Below are 20,535 nucleotides of genomic sequence, written 5' to 3'. Positions count from 1 at the left end.
ATAATAGGTTCTTAAGAAATGTTTGTTGAATGGATTAAAAAATGTCAGGGAGCATTTTATATATCATACTTTCAGTCCTTACTGCAATTTGTCTCAGTATTTCTTCCTAGTTTAGGTGACAGACCAAGGAGCACAGTGCATAGATAACTATGGAGGAGGGCTGGTTTTTTCATTTAATTTAATGTGAAGTTAATTTGAACTTTGACGTAAGAGAAGAATCTAAGTCTTTATGTTTCCACCATACACTAGAGTTAGTTCACTTCTTCTTAGTACTTTTATTATACTTCCAAATTTTACTATAGAAAGCATGTCAAATTTTGAATAAGCTAGGAAATAATTAGATTAACTCGTTGAACATTAGAGTTTGCCTTCTTAAATGTTCACTTTTAAGCAAAAATATTTAAAAACTCAAAGATCTATGGTTTTGCAGTGATAATATAAATATTCACAAAGAATTACTAGTTATATTGAAATTGCTCCAATATGTAGTTAGCATTATTCATATTGAATCACAACTTTATTTTTTAATTTTTATTTTTTTGTGTCTACATAGTAGATATATACATTTCTGGAGTACATGAGATATTTTGATACAGACACACAATGCATAATAATCACATCAGGGTATTCACATCAAGCATTTATCTTTTGTATGTATGGTTGTACAAGCAATCCAATTATACTCTTAGTTATTTTTAAATGTACAGTTAAATTATTATTGACTATAGTCACCCTGTTTTGCTATCAAATACTAGATCTTACTCATTCTATCTTTTTCATGCCCATTAATCACATTCTCTGCACCCCCCACCCCCACTACTACCCTTCCCAGCCTGTGGTAACCATCCTTCTACTCTCTATCTCCATGAGTTCAATTGTTTTTTTAACTACCACAAATAAGTGAGAACATGCGAAGTTTGCCTTTCTGTTCCTGGCTTATTTCATTTAACATAATGACCTCCAGTTCTGTCCACATTGTTGCAAATGGCAGGAACTCATTCTTTTTTTAATGGCCAAGTGGTACTCCACTGCATGTATGTATCACTTTTTTTTTTTAATCCATTAGTCTGTTGATAGACACTTAGGTTGCTTCCAAATCTTGGCTATTGTGATTAGTGATGCAATAAACATGGGAGTCCAGCTATCTCTTCAATATACTGATTTCCTTTCTTTTGGGTATATACCTAGCAATGTGATTGCTGGATCATATGGTAGATCTGTTTTTGTTTTTTTGAGAACTGATCTCCATAATGGTTGTACTGATTTACATTCCCACCAACAGTATGTGAGAGTTCCCTTTCTCCACATCCTCGCCAGCATTTGTTATTGCCTGCCTTTTGGATAAAAGCCATTTTAACTGGGGTGAGATGATAATCTCATTGTAGTATTGATTTGCATTTCTCTGACGACCAGTGATATTGAGCACCTTTTCATATACCTGTTTACCACTTGTATGTCTTTTTTTGAGAAATGTCTATTCAGATCTTTTGCCCATTTGTAAATTGGATTATTAGGGGTTTTTTTTCCCTGTAGAGTTGTTTGAGCTCTCTATATAGTCTGGTTATTAACCCTTTGTTAGATAGATAGATTGGAAATATTTTCTTCCATTCTGTGGGTTGTCTCTTCACTTTCTTGATTGTTTCTTTTGCTGTACAGAAGCTTTTTAACTTGATGTGATTCCATTTGTCCATTTATGCTTTGGTTGCCTGTGCTTGTGGGGTATTATTCAAGAAATCTTAGCCCAATCCAGTGTCCTGGAAAGTTTCCCCAATGTTTCCTTTTAGTAGTTTCATAGTTTGTGGTCTTAAATTTAAGTCTTTAATCCATCTTGGTTTGATTTTTGTATATGGCGAGAGTTAGGGGTCTAGTTTCATTCTTCTGCGTATGGATATCCAGTTTTCCTGCCACCACTTATGGAAGAGACTGCTCTTTCCCCGGTGTATGTTCTTGGCATCTTTGATGAAATGAGCTCACTGTAGATGTATGGATTTACTTCTGGGTTCTCTATTTGTTCTATTGGTCTATGTGCCTGTTTTTATGCCAGTACCTTGCTGTTTTGGTTACAGTAGCTCTGTAGTATAATTTGAGTCAAGTAATGTGATTCTTCCAGTTCTGTTCTTTTTGCTCAGGATAGCTTTGGCTATTCTGGGTCTTTGTGGTTCCATATAAATTTTAGGATTGTTTCTTCTATTTATGTGAAGAATAGTGTTGGTATTTTGATAGGGATTGCATTGAATCTGTGGATTGCTTTGGGTAGTATGGACATTTTAACAATATTGATTCTTCCAGTTCACAAACATGAAATATCTTTCCATTTTTTGTGTCCTCTTCAATTTCTTTCATCAGTGTTTTATAGTTTTCATTGTAGATATATTTCACTTCTTTGGTGAAGTTAATTCATAGATATTTAATTTTATTTGTAGCTGTTATAAATGGGATTACTTTTTTATTTCTTTTTCAGATTATTTGCTGTTGGCATATAGAAATGCTACTGATTTTTGTATGTTGATTTTGTATCCTGCAACTTTATTCAATTTGTTTATCAGTTCTAATAGTTTTTGGTAGTCTTTAGGTTTTTCCAAATACACGATTATATCATCTGCAAACAAGGATAATTTGACTTCTTTCTTTCCAATTTGGATGCCCTTTATTTTTTTCTCTCATCTGATTGCTCTAGCTAGGACTTCCTGAGTCACAACTTTAATTTCAAAGAATTCTATTATTATTCAAGGAGATTGTACAAAATACATGAATAGTACATGCTTTTTCCTACTCAATAATAATTTAGAACAGAAATTAAAATTTCAATTTGAAGTTCTTATGCTGTAGTTCTAATTAATAAAAAGTATTTAAAATACCTTGAAGTGTCAACTGAAGATTTTAGAGCTTTAAATATTTTTATCATTCATCCTGTATTTTAATATGTAAAACACAGTAGAGTTTTGTGTGTATTTTTTTTAACTTAAAGACAGCCCTTTTAGTATTATTAAAATGTGAATAATTCAGATGTTCAGTGTGAACAGGCTAATTTTGAATTGGCATGATATCTCAATTAGTGTTGAATCAATATAAATGTTGTATAATATTTTTAAGTGAAATAAGTTTATATACTAGTTTTTAATGTATTTATTTGCATGTTTGTAGAAAACTTATGTTGAACACATGATAGTCATGTGACGACAGAGAACAACAAAGCTTTGAGCTTGTGAACTGTATAGGAACTACATCCTACAAGTTAAGGATCAATTCTGATACTATTGGGATTTTATACATAACTAAAAGACACTATTTTAACAGGATTTCTCCTTACAGTAAATGTTAAGTTACTCCAGGAAAACAAAACAAAAGAATACTATTATAAAGAAACTTGGAAGTAGACAAGGTCATTTGGTTTCTTAAAATATTCTGCCAGCTTCTTATTGGTATACTTATTAAATAATATACTCAGTTTGTACTAATTTAATTCAGTTATTGCATTGGCATTAAAATTATTTTTTTTTTCATTTGCAGACTTTCTTATAAAGGAAAGTAATAATCTGACTACTATACACCCATATAGTTCATTGAAACTTGTTTTTTGACATATCAGTTCTTTTATGCTGTTATTTGAATGTTTAAGTTAGAAGTTGATCACTTTTGGTGAACTAAATAGATTCCTGAATAGTACTAAACAAAAATCTTGCCAAGAGTAGTGATCTAGCCGAGGTGAAAACATTCAATAAGACCTATTTGTGTAGACAAAGATAATAGGCCTCTTTTTGTCATCTTTGTATTGAAATAGATTTTATATTGAAGCAACCACTGTGGACACTAAGAGTGAAAATATAGTGAGTGACCAAAGATTTACTCATATAAAAAGTAGATAATTTAGTATAAATGTGGGCAAAAAATTTAGTGGCAAAGAGGCATTTGTTTTAATATTCAGTGGGGAAGGAAAACATTTATATTAGAATTTTGTAAAATACCTTTAGCCACTAGGAGGAGTTGTACAGTGTCTCTTTTTTAGATGAAGAGACTAGCAGTTCAAAAAATTAAATCTATTTAAACAAACACTATTTTGATGACAGTGTATTTAAACCATGAGTGTTTACTATGAACTACCCTCAGGTGTCTGATACAGTGTCTGGCACGTAGTAGGCACTCAAAATGGCCTGTTTACTTCAATTAATATTTGATGTAATGAATTCCAGTGGAGTCAAATAATTTGGACAAATAGTTGGAGCACAGTGTCATGAAGGCTGGCCTGTAACATTGCTGTAGTCACTTTTTAAGTTTGTTCACAGGGGAGCCATTTATTTATTCTGAGCCCTATTGACTGTGCATATATTCCTTAACTTTGAAAAAATTAGCCAATAACCGTAGAATTCAAATAGCTTTATTATGGAAACTTACAAAATGAGAGTACATCAATGTCAGTGATGCTAGAAATTAGTTAATAGAAAGGAATTTACCTATTTTATTCTTTTTATCTTATTTATTACAAAATAATGTATATAAATGTTTGTAGTAAAAATTCAAACAGAAAAATATAGAAAGTTAAAGATCCTAGTAATGCTATCATGGAAGCAATGAACAACTAGCAGATTTTATATGTTCTTCGAATTTTGTATTAATTATATATATATAATTTTAAAACAAAATAGTTAAACTAGTCATGGCTTTATAACTTTTTTCCCACTAATGTGTTATGAACATCGTTATCTGTGTGTGTGTATAATCTACCTCTTCTTACATAGTATTCTTAGCTACTGTATCTCTATAAGTAACATAAAACTTCAGCTTATATTGGTTTGAATAATAAGGAAACTGATTATGTCACATAACGGAAATTGGATGGTTCTAGACACAGATAGTCATGGTATGGTTGTGCTTCTTACTGATTCTCCTTGTTATTATCCTCAGGCTGGTAGTGGGATGGCAGCAGTTTCTCTTCCTTGAGTTTTCCTAATCATTGAGAAACAGAATGGGATCATCAATAGTTAATTAATTAGTCTCATCATCAGGGTTGAGATGAATGTTGAGCAATTAATCATCATTACAAGTATTCCATGTACCATGATTTATTTAACTAATTTCCTATTAAGGTTTAATATCAAATTTTCATGATAATAAATAATGTTGTTAGGTATATCTTTGTTCCATATAATTTTGTATACTTGTGCAAAGGTTTTTGTAGACTAGATTACTTGAGTAACATTCCTAGATCAAAGGAAGTTAACAGACACTGTCAAACTAAAGTTATAATTTGAAGAATATGTATATACCCCCATACATATTCCTACCAATAGAGTGTAGGTTTCCCTGACTCCCCATCAGGCCTCTTTACCTCTTATCAATCTACCAGGGCTGCTACCTACAGGGATCTGCTAAGGGGGCAGACTGTGCACTATAGTAGCTTCATCTGATTTCTAAGAGGAGGCGTAAGCCTTGGCCATGAATTTTTAAGTCTCAATTATAGAACCACCATTTATTAAATTTCAGTGGAATATTACTAACTGAATCACAGAGATAGCATTTATCTTACCCAGCCTCCCTACCTCCATTCTCTTTCCTGCCTCATGTTACAGAAAACTTATTAGAAAATAACATCCAGTCCTCAAAAGGCAGCTTCAAGACAGGGAAAATTGGGGCTAGTTAAGATAGGATGTGTGCCCATGTGAAGTGTGAGCAAGAGAAAAGAAACGGCATGACAACCCTAAAAATGCACTATAGAAGAAGGAAAAGGGGTGTGCAGAAGATGAAGAATCTGGCCTGAAAGAAAGTGCTACCCTAGAAGCAAAAATAAACAAAAAAACCTCCACACAGTTTACCATGAAAAATAGTACTAAGGATATGAATTGAATAAATTAAGAGCAAAGATGAGATCATGAAACAAAATGACGTGGAGAAGAAGATTGCAGAATTAGTGAAATAAATTGAGAATGCAAAGGTCACTATTACAGGACATAAATTAAAAATATCAAGAAACAGACAAATTAGAAAGTCAGGTTTTAGCATGGAAGAAAGGTTTGAGCTAATCAAAATGAATGCGGGGTAGGGAGGGGGTTGGGAAGAATAAAGCATTTAGAGAAGATGTGATAAATATAGAGGAGAAATGAAAGGGATGCAAACAAGACTAGTTAGTGCCTCTAAAATACCCAACAAAAAATGATTCAAAGATGTGATAGAAGACAGTTTTCACAAATGAAGGGATTCTCCAGTTTGTACATCAAAGGGACTCACTATATCAAGAAAATAATTGAATGAATTGGAGTTGTAGAACAATGTAAATAAAAACTAATACAAGCAATGGAAGTTGAACAGTGCAGGGAGGAGAAGTGAAGAAAATATAATTGTACCCTTCATATCCCAGCTATTCTAGCTGTCCCCAGATACTGAGCCTGTTGGGTACAATCTCTTTGGGGAATAAGTTTTAAACGAAATCCTACATCTCAAACCATGAGTTCCCACCTTACACCTAGCCCCTTTCCCCTGGTTGGCCCAAAGTACTGGGAGCCAGGCTTATACCATCTAGGCAGAATATTGAAATATTTCTTTCGAGGGAAAATGGTACTGACATTTTGGGATTCTCTAAAGGAAAGTCAGGTTCCTACCCCGTCCCTAGTTCTGTGCATCCCCGTGCTTGAATTATAAGCATCCAGTCAGCTGTTTTAATGTTTCATTTTGTTGTTGCTGTTGTTTAAAAATAGTGTTATTGAGATATAACTGTATACCATAGAATTCACTCAAAGTGTATAATTCAGTGGTTTTTAGTATAGGCACAGTTGTACAGCCATTGCCACAATCTAATTTTGGGACATTTCACCACATCAAAAAGAAGCTATAACTATTAGCAGTCATACCCTATTCCCACTCTTCTCTCCATGGCCCAGGCAACCACTACAGGAGTGTCCAATCTTTGGGCTTCTCTGGGCCGCATTGGAAGGAAAGAATTGTCTTGAGCCACACATGCAATACATTAACACTCACGATAGCTGATGAGCTAAAAAAAAAAAAAAAAAAAAAAAATCTCATAATGTTTTAAGAAAGTTTATGAATTTGTGTTGGGCCACATTCAAAGCCATCCTGGGCCACATGTGGCCTATGGGCCGTGGGTTAGAGAAGCTTACACTAATATATTTTCTATCTCTGTAGATTTGCCTAGTCTGGACATTACATACATGGTGTTTTAAGTAGAATGAGAAGTAAAGAATCACCAGATATTTGAGGAATACGTCAAATAAAATCCAGAAATGAAAACAACAAAAAAGAAACTCAGGGGAAATAGAGGCAGTATATAAAGACAGAAGATAACTTAAAAACTTACTTTTTTTTTTTAAAGTTTACCATAAAAGGTGAACAGGAGGCAGTCAAAATGCATATTCAGAGAACAAGAAAACTTTTGGGGAATAAAAATACTCAACGGAAGTAGAGACAAAACTTGAAAAGATTCCCTAGTCAAACAAAAAGGTAAAGATTGCAAAATGAATTAAAAGATAAAAGCAGAAATTAGTTCAAAATAATAGTATACCTAGCAAGAGTAAGGGAAAAATTCTTAAGTGATCTGATCAAACAAGGTCTTTAAGTAGAAGACAATTTTAAGAACCAGAATACCTGAGATTTTAGATTAAGAAGGCCCATATATTTTCAGCATAGTGGATGAAAAAACACTTTAAAAAACATTTTTGTGAAATTTTTGATAACCAGCAATAAAGAGATCATTCTAAAAGTTTTTAGAGAATGAGAGAAACATGATACCTACAGAGGACGGGAAACCAGAATGGCACTGAACTTCTCAAGTGGGAATCAGAAAACATTGGAGCAGTGCCTTCCAAATTCTGAGGCAGGGCCAGGCGCTGTGGCTCACGCCTATAATCCCAGCACTTTGGGAGGCCGAGGTGGGCAGATCATTTGAGGTCAGGAGTTCGAGACCAGCCTGGCCAACAAGGTGAAACCCCATCTCTACTAAAAATACAAAAATAGCTGGGCATGGTGGCAGGCGCCTGTAATCCCAGCTACTCGGCAGGCTGAGGCAGGAGAATCGCTTGAGCCCAGGAGGCAGACGTTGCAGTAAGCCAAGATCGTGCCACTGCACTCCAGCCTGGATGACAAAGTGAGACTTCACCTCAAAAAAAAAAACAACAAAAAACCCCCCACAAATTCTGAGGCAGAATGATTCCCAAAAATTACAGTAAAATCATTTTCAGACTTAAAACATCTCTAAGCATCTATTTTCCATGTACCCTTTCTCAGGAATCTATGGAAGGAGGTGCTGAAAAAGAAAATTCCTTTCTCAGGAATCTATTGAAAGAGGTGCTTAAAAAGAAAAGAAAAAGGAAGATAGATGGAGGAAGTCTTGGAATTTAGGAAAGAGCAGATCCAAAAGAACTGAGAGAGGCAAAGGGAATTCACAAGATGCTCGTGCAGGGACCCCACAGCACAGCAGTTTTGCAGCAGTCCTAGGTGGCTCCAAAAAGATGGAAGGAGCGGGGAGAAGAAATCAAGCATTTAGAGGTACTACTTAGCTTCTTTGGAATATGTGAAAATTACTTAATGACAGGTACGTAAGCAAACAGAGCAGGGAAAAAGAGGCAGTTCTTAACATCCATGGACAATTAAAGATTATATTTACTATGAGAAAAGAAATGTATAATTGTGGTTTACTGTGTGGTTCACTGTGATTAGCAGTTTTATAATCATCATAACGTAGACATTACTATTGATTCGGTTGAAAGGAGGAGATGTTACCATTGTAGAAGGGGCGTGAGTCAGGGAGAAATGTGTATGTGGAGGTAGGCAGCTTGTAGATAAAAGGTGCTAAATCTTCTCCCTTAGAAGAAGGCAGAAAGTAAGTTAATCTTGAAAAATCTATACTTAATTTATGTTTTTTTTTTTAATTTGAGGTAAATAGAAGAAGCAGCAAAAAGAGTTGAAAATATCTGTCTTGGAGCAGACATCAGGAGTGGGGAGGGATGGAAGAGGAGACTACTATTTTTATTATTAGTTTAATTGTACTCCTTTACTTTAAAGATGTCACATATATTATTTTGATAAATATGAAATTTTTACTTTAAAAACAAGCTACAGAGTTTTTCTATTTTTAAAAATAGGTCTCAGTTCCATTTTTTCTACATTTATTATATGTAGGATCATAAACACTTGGCTACCACAAAATAGAGGGCAACCTCTTGGATGATCATATTTTTTATTTTAATAAACATAAGATGGCCACAAGTGTGCTGGAACCGTGAAAAATGTGAAGGCATGGATTTTGCCTCTTAGCCCAAGGAACTTAGAACTTAGAGGTTAGAAAGATACATACATCAATCTTTTTTTTTTTTTTTTTGAGATGGGGTCTCGCTCTGTCGCCAGGCTGGAGTATAATGGCATCGTCTCGGCTCACGACAACCTCCGCCTCCCGGGTTCAAGCGATTCTCCGTTCTCAGCCTCCCGAGTAGCTGGGATTACAGGTGCCTGACGCTGCGCCCAGCTAATTTTTTGTATTTTTAGTAGAGATGGGGTTTCATCATGTTGGCCAGGCTGGTCTCGAACTCCTGACCTTGTGATCCGCCCGCCTCTGCGTCCTGAAGTGTTGGGATTTCAGGCGAGAGCCACCGCACCCAGCCACATAAATCTTATTGAAACATCTCTGATCGTAAAGTTGCGTTGATTGAAAACCTTCATGGTTCCTTAGTTTGATATTTAAGAATTTTCTAAAATCCTAACCCTAAATCTATCACCATGATACCATTTCACACCAATTACGATGACTGTAATAAAAAAAAGATAATGACAAGTGTCAGGAGGGTGTGGAAAAATTGGAATCCTCATACACTGCTGGTGGGAATATAAAATGGTTCAGCCATTTTGGAAGAGTCTGGTAGTTAGTTCCTCAAGTGATTAAATATAAGAGTTTCCATAGGACCTAACAATTCCACTCCTAGGTGTAATCCCAAGAGAGATGAAAACATATGCTCACACAGAAACTTGTGCATAAATGTTCATAGCAACATTATTCATAATAACCAAAAAGTAGAAGCAACCCAAATATCCATCAGCTGTTGAATAGATAAAATGTGGAATATCCCTTGAAGGGAATATGATTGAGCCATAAAAAGGAATGAAATATTGATACATGCTGCAACATGGATGAACCTTGAAAACATTATGCTAGGAAAAAGAAGCCAGTCATACATGCTTTATGATTCCATTTATATGAAATGTCCAGAATAGGCAAATCCAGAGAGACAGAAAGTAGCTTAGTGGTTGCCTAGGGCTGGGAGGAAGGAGAAATGGAGAGTGATTGGTAATGGTTAAAGAGTCTGGGGATGATGAAAATGTTCTAAAACTTACAGTGGTGATGGCTGCACGACTCTGTGAATATACTAAAAACCATTGATTTGTATACTTGAAATTAGTGAATTGTATGGCTAGAAAGGATTTTCTAGGATAATTTTTGACTCTACTCAATAAAGCTATTTTTAAAAATCCTAACTGTGGAGACCAGCCTGACCAAAATGGTGAAACCCCATCTCTACTAAAAAAAAATACAAAAAATTAGCCACCTATAATCCCAGCTATTCGGGAGGCTGAGGCAGGAGAATCCCTTGAATCCGGGAGGCGGACGTTGCAGTGAGCCCAGGTTGCGCCATTGCATTCCAGCCTAGGCAACAAGAGCGAAACTCCATCTCAAAAACAAAAACAAACAAAAAAAAAAACGGTGAGGGCCGGGCGCAGTGGCTCACACCTGTAATCCCAGCACTTTGGGAGGCTGAGGCCGGCGGATCACAAGGTCAGGAGTTCGAGACCAGCCTGGCCAACATGGTGAAACCCCATCTCTACTAAAAATACAAAAATTAGCCTGGTGTGATGGCACACACCTGTAATCCCAGCTACTCAGGAGTCTGAGACAGAAGAATGGCTTGAACCCGGGAGGTGGAGGTTGCAGTGATCCGAGATCACTCTATTACACTCCAGCCTGGGCAACAACAGCGAAACTCCGTCTCAAAAAAAAAAAAAAAATCCTAACTCTGCCCTACTTTTCCAGCCTTATTTCTCGTTCTTCCACGTGGCCTCTAGCAATCTGACTTGTGTTCTCTTGTCTGCAGTGCAGCTCTTTTCTCCAGTCCTCCAGTTTAAGACCTGATGCTACCTATTCTTTCCAATCCAGCTGAACTTCCTCCTGTTCCATAAAATAGAAAAAGTGAATTCTTCCCAACAGAAAGTAATCTCTGCTCTCAACCTCTACCACACCTTATGTTTCCAGGCACATCACTTTATGTATTACAGTATAGAGGAGGTGTGTGTTAAGTTGAAGCTTAGTCATCATTGTCAGCCACATGTAGTCAAAAATTGGCCTAGGAAATCCTTTAAATTGCTAAAATAGTACAATTCCCTTTACATTGAACTTGGCCAGTTTTTCCTTCCAACATTGGAACACATCTCTGTTCTATTGAATGCTAGTTGAAAAAGCTGACTTATATTTATAGGTGTTACATGAAATAAAAAAGAATAATAAAGCCCTACAAATAGTACAAATTTGGATATATGTGATTGGCTCCAGCCCGTTCTTAGCCCTGCTTCTCAATGGAAACAAGCTAAGGCTCTTATCTTGTGTAGTTGGGGAGTATGAGATGGAGGATGATAGAGGGATTGGTTTGTGAACTGACTTGTCATCATTTGGGACTTTTAAAATTCAGTGTACATTTTGCGTGTAATAATTGGCCTGTTTCTAGTTAAATAAATCATCTAACAAAACAAATGTTTTCCCCCATACTATCTAGAAGAGGCTACTTTTCAATAACTTCACCTTGCAATTTAAACAATTGAATATTTGGACCCCACTTAGTGCATTGCAGTGGGCTTTTACCTGACTGTAACCAGACTCCTGTTCTACATGATGAAGTGTTCACCCTATGAGGGCCAGGCTGAAACTAACACCTACTAAGAGAATGGCAGAATTAAGTCTTTCCACCTTTACACTCTCAGATGTGCACTTAGTAAATAGGAACGGTAGGCAGAATCACCAGATCTTTTGAAATACTTTGTTCTTGTTCTCTGCCTGTTTCTTGCCAAGTAAATTGAATTGGTTTATATAAATGAAGTGTGCTGTAAGAAAGACTAGTTGAGGCCGGGTGCAGTGGCTCATGCCTATAATCCCAACACTTTGGGAGGCCAAGGTGGGTGGATCACAAGGTTAGGAGTTCGAGACCAGCCTGGCCAACACAGTGAAACCCCATCTCTACTAAAAGTACAAAAATTAGCTGGGCATGGTGGCACACACCTGTAATCCCAGCTACTCAGGAGTCTGAGGCAGGAGAATCGCTTGAACCCGGGAGGCTGAGGTTGCAGTGAGCCGAGATCGCTCCATTGCACTCCAGCCTGGACACAGAGTGAGACTCCGTCTGAAAAAAAAAAAAAAAAAGAAAGACTGGTTGAATAAATGATGCACCATCCATACAATGGAATACTGTTACAGCTGTTAACAAGGAAAAACAAGCAAAACTTGGTTTATAACATGATGCATCTGAGTTTTGTTTTGAAGAAATATACATATGTACATGTGTATTTATGCAAATGTACATATATCCTTCAAAACAAAATTATGTGTGTATTTGTGCCTGTATAAAATATTTCTGGAAGAATATGTAATAATTTAGCATAATAGCAGTTGCCTGTGGGGAAAGGAACCAGGAGTTGATGATAGGGGTGGAAGACTTAGCTGTTTCTACAAATGCTCTTTAACATGGTTTGACTCCTAGTGCGTCTGTATATTACCTTTCCAATGGAAAACATTTACATCTTCTTACCAATTAACTATTAATAGTTCATGGTAAATATGTATATGTCATTTTGAGATTTTCATTTTAAATTAGCAGGAAATATATGTATACTGATAATGTGTGCTAGTGCTTGTTGGATTCTCCAGCAGCTCATGTATATACCACCAACGATGTACCAATTTGTGTTTCACAGAGTTACATCCATATGGGAGAATAGTCTCCAGATCACTACAATTTCTAGCTTTGTAGGAGCATGGCTTGGAGCACTTCCTATTCCACTGGATTGGGAAAGACCATGGCAGGTTGGTTTCAGTTACTTAAAGCAACAAAATAAATGTTTGTACAATGATAGTAAAACAGATGAAGCAAACTAGTGTGTATATGTAAATTGTTTTGTTGTTCAATTAAGTAGGGATACCACTTCTATCAGTCACTGTAATCTGGGCAGCTTCTTAATGGGGACTGTCCAGTGCCACAGGTGTCTAGGTAGCCCTGGTTTTATCTTCTAGCACTATTTTTTGCACATGTGTAGATGAATAAACAAGCTTATTTTGTGATTGTATATAGGCGGTTTGTTTATTGTTTTTAAAAAAGACAGGTTCTCACTCTCTTGCCCAGGCTGTCCTCTAATGCTTGGGCCTAAACGATCTTCCTGCTTCAGCCTCCCAAGTGGCTGGGACTACAGGTGTGTGCCACCGAGCCCAGCCAGTATAGGAATTTTTAAAAACTAGGTTAATAGCTGCAGAAATTTCCTATTTTCAACTTTGATATTTATTGCCCTTGTGGTCTTATATTCATATTTTCTGAACTTGATTGATGGCCAAATTGAATGTTCCTCTTGAAATTTTTAGAAGCAGATAGCAAGGTAATTTTTGCAGCAGCGGCCTGTGTTATCAAGAAAGCTCACAAACATCAGATTTTTCGTCTTGTATCACAATAAGATAAAGCTGATATGCTAGGTAAAGCACTGTGAGGTAAGTGCTCTTTTTATACCCATTTTACAGATGAGGAAACTGACACCTAGAGGGTATGTAACATTCCCAAGGTCACTGAACTTACAGTGATGACTGTATCTTTATCTTAATATTAATGACTTTGTAGTATGCCATTATATACTTTATAACTTATTTAACAAATTCACTATTGATCATTTAGATTATTGCCAGTATTTTGTGATAATAAACACTGCTGTGATAAAATCTTTGAATCTATAGCTTCTTGAATTTTTCTAATTAGGTTCACAGAGTAATTACTCCCAAAAAGAATTATGGTATTAAAAAATAAATGTGCTTTCTTTTTCCAACATGAAGATAATTTTTTTCTGATCACGAAGATAATGTATATTTATTTAGAAAATTAAAGCAATATTAGTAATTCTAAGGAAGAAAGTAAAAATTACTTTCCTCCCCAACCACCCAGAGGAAACCTCCATTTGCTTTTGGTGATAATTTTTGCAGCTGTCTCTCTCCATGCCTGTAACTATAATATTCATGTTGTTTTTAATCTGCTTTTTCCCCTCAGCAGTATATTATGGAGCTCATTCTATGTCAATGAAAACTTACATATATGTAATATTCGATTATTTGTGTAAAATATTGTACCAGTTTTTTATTAAAGAACATTTAGGTCATTTCCTATTTTACTATTATTATTTTATTATCAAATATGGTCATTATCATACTTATACATCTTTGCATATTTGTCCAATTTTCTCTGTAGGGTAGAGTCCTACCTAATGAATTGATGAATTAAATCTTTGATACATACCTCATTTGCCAAATGTGGGATCCAGATTGTGTGCCTTGCACATAACTGCCTACATTTAGCTCTATTCTTTGTGCTTTCAGTTAGATGTCGTGTCTCCCCGAAAGTCAAATTGTTGTTTCATGTTTAATAGGTCTGATAGGTTTGCCCTTCCCTGTTTTAACTCTTCATCACTATATTAGAGAAATCCTTGGAGGTTTGGTGTGTGTATCGTCACAGATTCCCATCTCAAGTTTTTGGTGCTAGTAAAGGTTTCTTAAGTTGACATCTTATAGAAGTCATCCATACTTGATGTCATTCAACAGAGTGTCAGTGATTTCTAAATTGGAGGACAATCAAAATCATTGAAAAGTATACACAGAAAATTGAAACTGTGTAGATTCATTGCTATCAAGTAATGCAATTAAATCTAAATAGAAAGTATTGATAAATAAAGTACTATGGGACATTAGCTTTAATGAGTTGGTAAGATATAATAATCATTTTGTATATGATGCAATACATTAGAGTGTAAAGGTTTGATATATTACACATAATTTAAGTCTTTTCTGTTTACAAGACAGTGCAGTAGTAGAAACTGAACTAAGAGGAATGAATATATGTGCTTTATAAAATATGTGTTTAGGTTTGCTTAGAAAATATATATCTTAATTATTTACAGTTCAGTCACCCATTTTGGGATTGTTCAGGCTTTTAGCTGATGACCCATTTTTCTCCCTCAGTGCTTGTTAACAATAAGGATGAACTAGATCCAAATTGATGGTATTACTTTTTAAATTAATGTAAAGTTTCCATTTGAATTACTGACTTTTTAAAAAGATTTTCTAGGTAGCTGGAAATTAATTTAATTTTAAATCTAATTTAAATACATAACAAGTGTTGGTTTCCATTAAGAGTGTTTCATTCAGCTGGAATATTACTGGCCATGTAATTATCTTTACTATTGGGTTGTTTTTAGAATATTCCAAGTTAATGACCCACGTATTCACTGTAAACCTTTTAAATTATGAAATGTATTGTTGAGGGAATGATAGAATTGATGTATAATTAAAAATCTTTTATTCATATAGCACTCATCTGCTCCTTGCCCTTTTAGCAGTTATTTACTAATAAACTAAAGAAATGAGGTTTTTTTTTCACTTTTTATTTCCAGCAAACAAGGTTGTTTGTTTTTTTGTTATTGTTATTTTTTAATAATTCTAACTCCACAGAACAGCATCTCCCAGAGAAGCAATAAATCAGATAAGGGAATATGGCATTTTCTAAAAGTGGAGATGTTGTTAGAGCAAAATTTCATGAGAAGACAATACAGTATACACTTTATTATCTAAAATAGAACATGTATTAAGAGATTCTTGTTCTGTGTTCCTTGTAGCCCAATACCGATTTGATCTGCTTGTGGTAAAGCAAGCTTTTCTGGATTGTGTTCTGGTTTTATTTATATTCCAGTCAGAGAAACAGGAATATCTGGTTAAGCAATTGTACCTTTAAAAACACACACATGCACACACACACACAAAACCCCACAAAATCTACTACATGTTTTAATTCAGTTTTCTTTACTTTGAACTCAAACCATTGTATAACATTCCTGAGGCCAAGCATAAGATTATAGTGATGTGGATTCTGTAATGAGCTGTTTCAAGCATATTTTTATGTTTAAAATAATTTCTTCATTAAATGACTGGAAAGGCCCACTGAAAATATGTGATCTCAATGTAAAAGTTTTTTAACTTAATATAAATCTTAAGTGATTTTAAATAATGGCAAGTGATGAAAGATTAGGCATCTTTATAGTTGGAGGAAGCCTTTCTTTTGTAGAAGGCAGCAAGGGGATATGGTTAAAGAGAATATGGTAGGGTAGCTACCCATTATACTGTTGGTCATCTTTGTTGTTGTTTTAATACTTTAAAGTCATCTTCTTGCCTCTACCTTATTTGCCTTAAAATCTCAGCAAGAAAACAAATATTTGAATTTCCCATAATCCAGATAGGCTTTTTCAACTTCTAGAGAAAGCTTATAGTTGCTGACAAAATAAATATTTGGACTACAGAAAACCTTTGTATTTTATAATTTGATTCTTTATCTGCTGTAACTAAATAGCTAATCAATAAGTATTTGTTGTTATTACTGTATGCATAGCATATGTTCTGTGTAAGTAAGTACAACAGATACTTAAATACACCCAGGACTGGAATTTAATTATTTAATAATTTAGATTTGAACTGTGATTTAGATTTAATATGCTGTAACTATTTCATAGAATATGTAGCTATGAGGTTTTTCATCTGGAAAATGTCTTGTCAAAACATGGCTAGTATTTCATGTTATAAAAAATTAGTGGAAGGTTAAGAAATATTGTTGGTTATTCTGAGCACAGGAAATTGACCATGAGGTTTTTAAACTCACGTTTTATTAATGGGTAGGCAGGTAACATGATGATTAGGAGTTCTGGCATCAGATTACTGGGTTGAAATCCTGGCTTTGTCACTTGCTAGTGAGGATGAAATAATAAAATCCCTCTAAAATACCTAGCTCAGCACCTGACACATGGTTATTACTTAATTAATGTTACAGGCATTTGTGACCTAGAAAAGACATAGTTTAATGACTATATTTTTAGCCTTCAAAAAATGCAAATTCCATGATTTATTTGAGTTCTCATATATTAGAGAATATGTTAATTGTCTCAGTTTGTTGTTTTATTTTTTCTGCCCAGCAGTCTTTCAGTTGGTAGAGTGGACTGTTAATTTATCTATTTCTCTGGTATTTAGTTATGCCAATTTAGGGTATTTGGATTTCACATAATTTTCAATCCTGTCTGACATTTCAGATGACAGTAGAAAGAAAACGTAGCACTTATAGATCTCTCCATGTACCCTGCAGGGGGCTTGGTACTGTGAAATGAGTAACTTAATCCTGACAACCGTAGTGCAAGGTAGGTTTTACTCCCATTTTATACACTAGAAAGTCCAAGTGTGAGAGGGGAGGAGTACACATCTTGCTTAGCATTACTCAGGTGGGAAGAGGGAGACTTAAGATTCACATGAGAGCCCCACTACACCATGATTCTTTTCATTGCTGGAAACTAAAACATAGCTTTTCTTTTTAAAAAATGGTCATAGCTTAGGTCTCTTTGGAATAGCTAAATTACTTATTATATTTCATTTCTTTCCCCACATTGTTTTCATTACATGCCTTGACCGTTGTGGTGGTGTCTGTATTTTAGGCCGTAATTTATTTGTAGGAGAATATTTAAAGCTAATATGCAATGATTTTGTCCCTAACAAATCCACACATGCCTTTAAACTATGGACTTCAGTGCTACAATCTTTAAAAATATTTGAACCAAATAATCAAGTCTCGGCTAGGATGCTTATTTCTTACGAAGGTAAAAAGGAAAATTGATATAAAGTATTTTAAATAACTGAATTTGGAGATTTTGAATTTTAGACACCTGAGATCGTCTTTGAAACAATTTAAAGTTGTTTTAAAATATTTGTACTTATTCTCAACAGACACCAGATAAATGAGGCATTGTTGTATTTAAAAATTTTTTGGGTTTTTTTTTTTCAGTTTTACCACGTTAGAAATCTAGTATTTGTGAAATATGTATATTCATTTCCTAAAGTCACAGATGCCACAGATAATTCTTTCATAAGTTGAAACTAGGAATCATAGGATTATAACTACATGAATTACTGCAAAATGCTGGAGGGAGATTAAAACTAAGATTATGGATTTGATTGATTGAAGAGCTGCAGGTTTTTACGTTAATTGGTATTTCCATTACCAAAGGGATGATACTGTGTTTTAGACCAAAATAAAATACTCATTTATATGAATATGGTTTGTATGTTTCAAGCATGAGAAAAATGTGTTAACATTGAACTGGCATGAAATGGTTTTGGATTGAAAAGGCGTGTTCATCGTAGGGTAATCATGTTGATAATGCTCTGCTAACAGGACTTTCATGTTAGAGAGAATAATGCTGGCCAAGTTAACTCGTTTGCACGAGTTGTGACCAGAACCTTTTAGTGTCATTTTGACAAGAATTCCAGACCAGGAACTACACACCCCTTCGCAAATAACTCTTCCTAAAGTAGTATTCTTAGTCACAGGAGAGTGTATACATGGATGAGTGTAGATTTTTAACTAGAGAAATGTATCCCAATGAGTAGATTCATTTGTGCATGTATTCCTGTATCAGACAATAACATTTACTTTAGGAATATCTGGAAAAACATACTGTTCAAGACCAATTTTGGAGGAGAATATAAATGATTATTTATAACCAGTAGGTCAGCAGGCTTTGAAAGATGAACTCTCTCAGTCATGCAAATGCAAATTTGTGATAAGCACAATTAACAAAACAAACATATTGAAAAGTAGCTCATGAGAGATTGAGAACTGGATTTTATCTTCCTTTTTATCTCGAGAGAGACAGTAATCCTAATGGTTGTGAGTTGTTCTAAATGTCTGTAGGTGTTCTGATTTGCAGATAGGTCAGTTTCTCCATGTTATCTGTGACAGTGTAAATCTCCCCCAAAATTATAAGTAATATTTATTATATTGGAACACATTTTTAAGAATTTATACTAAAATGTATCCAAAATTAAATAATTTAATCTTAGTTTACACCTTTAACTGCTGGGTTAAGGTAGGGGCTCCACAAATAGTTTCGAATGAATGGAGTCATTCATATGAGCCTTTAAAAATTAACACAAATGCCTACCAATGATTAGTTTAAAACCACTATCTGTACTTAAAATTTTGTTTCTTCGAATTTATGAAAAATGACAGCTAGCAGCAGGGTAACCTTCTGAGGTAAGGATACAGATGGTTAACGTAATGCCAGTATGTTGTACAGCTCCTGAATTTGCTCTTGTAACAGACATTTCACATGAAGAACAGCATGTATTAAAGATGATTGCTTTATGGCTGGGCGCGGTGGCTCACGCCTGTAATCCCAGCACTTTGGGAGGCTGAGGCAGACGGATCACGAGGTCAGGAGATCGAGACCATCCTGGCTAACACATTGAAACCCTGTCTCTACTAAAAATACAAAAAAATTAGCTGGACGTGGTGGCAGGCACCTGTAGTCCCAGCTACTCGGGAGGCTGAGGCAGGAGAATAGCGTGAACCTGGGAGGCGGAGCTTGCAGTGAGCCGAGATTGTGCCACTGCACTCCAGCCTGGGCGACAGAGCGAGAGTCCGTCTCAAAAAAAAAAAAGATGATTGCTTTGCAAGGGTAAAGAATAGTTCCTACCACTTCCTACCACACAGTATATTACTCATGAACTATTCGTTCTAAACTGCCGGTTCTACTTATTACATAGTAGTGTCAGTGACCAAAGAAATACTGTTTGTGTAAGTTTAATTTTTTCAAGTTAAAACATGTAATATACAGAATACTGGTACGTGGTACTTTATAGCTTTCATGACAAATTTTAAGAGATTACTTCAGCCCTGCATTTTAAGTATAGTAGGTACTTCTGTCCCTGTTCTGTAGGGGAAACTGAGGCTCAGATGTTAAAATGAGCTGGCTAAGGTCACTTAACATCTGATGTACCACTTATTTTTTAATTAGATTTTTCTTCTTCCTGGTAATTTTAATAATTTTACCCACTTGAGTTGTAATATATTTGATTATACACCATAGGTTGTTTCTTCTATTTACTGGCTAAAAAAATGTAAATTTATAAAAAACTCTCACTATCTTGCCCAGGCTGGCCTCCAGTGCTTGGGCCCTTGTCATTTTGGTGGCAAACACTTGTGAATGACTTCCTTTACATGAATGTCTTTGTTCTAAGTTTCCTATTTTCTTTAAACAAAATAATTATATAAAGCCATCTCAGATTACCATAATTTGGAGAAATCTTTATAGCAGTGCAGCTGAATTATGTATTTAATAGATATCACTTTTTTAAAAAATCCTATTTGTGGCATGAAGAACGTTGAATAGAAACATGTCTGTATGTGAGATAAGGAAATAGTTTTAAAGGAAAAC

At 35.1% G+C, this 20,535-nt stretch overlaps 1 protein-coding gene and 1 long non-coding RNA gene across 5 annotated transcripts in view, besides 1 other annotated feature; one reads left to right on the top strand and one right to left on the bottom strand.

Annotated features, from left to right (window-relative positions):
• The window catches only part of PIGF (phosphatidylinositol glycan anchor biosynthesis class F), a 36,105-nt gene that overhangs the window by 11,504 nt on the left and 4,066 nt on the right, over positions 1–20,535 (top strand). Inside the window, exons 5-6 of one of the 4 annotated variants that reach the window (XM_011532908.4) lie at positions 12,955–13,063; positions 17,412–17,463. In XM_011532908.4, coding sequence (XP_011531210.1) covers positions 12,955–13,063; positions 17,412–17,463 — 161 coding nt within the window. Of the gene's footprint in view, positions 1–12,954; positions 13,064–13,612; positions 14,392–17,358; positions 17,464–20,535 lie in introns of those variants that run through there. The other 3 variants (NM_173074.3, XM_005264369.4, NM_002643.4) reach the window with 3 other exon arrangements.
• LOC124906003 (uncharacterized) lies at positions 517–12,180 on the bottom strand. The gene is made up of 2 exons (XR_007086307.1): positions 9,302–12,180; positions 517–4,944 (listed from the first exon to the last, which is right to left on the bottom strand). It is a non-coding gene; the product is annotated as an uncharacterized LOC124906003 (long non-coding RNA).
• Positions 19,368–19,551: a silencer, noted in NCBI's record as "fragment chr2:46813126-46813309 (GRCh37/hg19 assembly coordinates)". NCBI's record gives its function as "represses an EF-1alpha promoter that drives an FKBP-Casp9 reporter gene in an ReSE screen in phorbol 12-myristate 13-acetate-treated (for megakaryocytic differentiation) K562 erythroleukemia cells {active_cell/tissue: K562(+PMA)}" and the evidence as "EXISTENCE:reporter gene assay evidence [ECO:0000049][PMID:32094911]".

This window comes from Homo sapiens, chromosome 2 (assembly GCF_000001405.40).
Source record: "Homo sapiens chromosome 2, GRCh38.p14 Primary Assembly".
NCBI lineage: Eukaryota > Metazoa > Chordata > Mammalia > Primates > Hominidae > Homo > Homo sapiens.
Note: the sequence above shows the minus strand (reverse complement) of the source record. Positions and strands in the feature narration are given on the sequence as shown.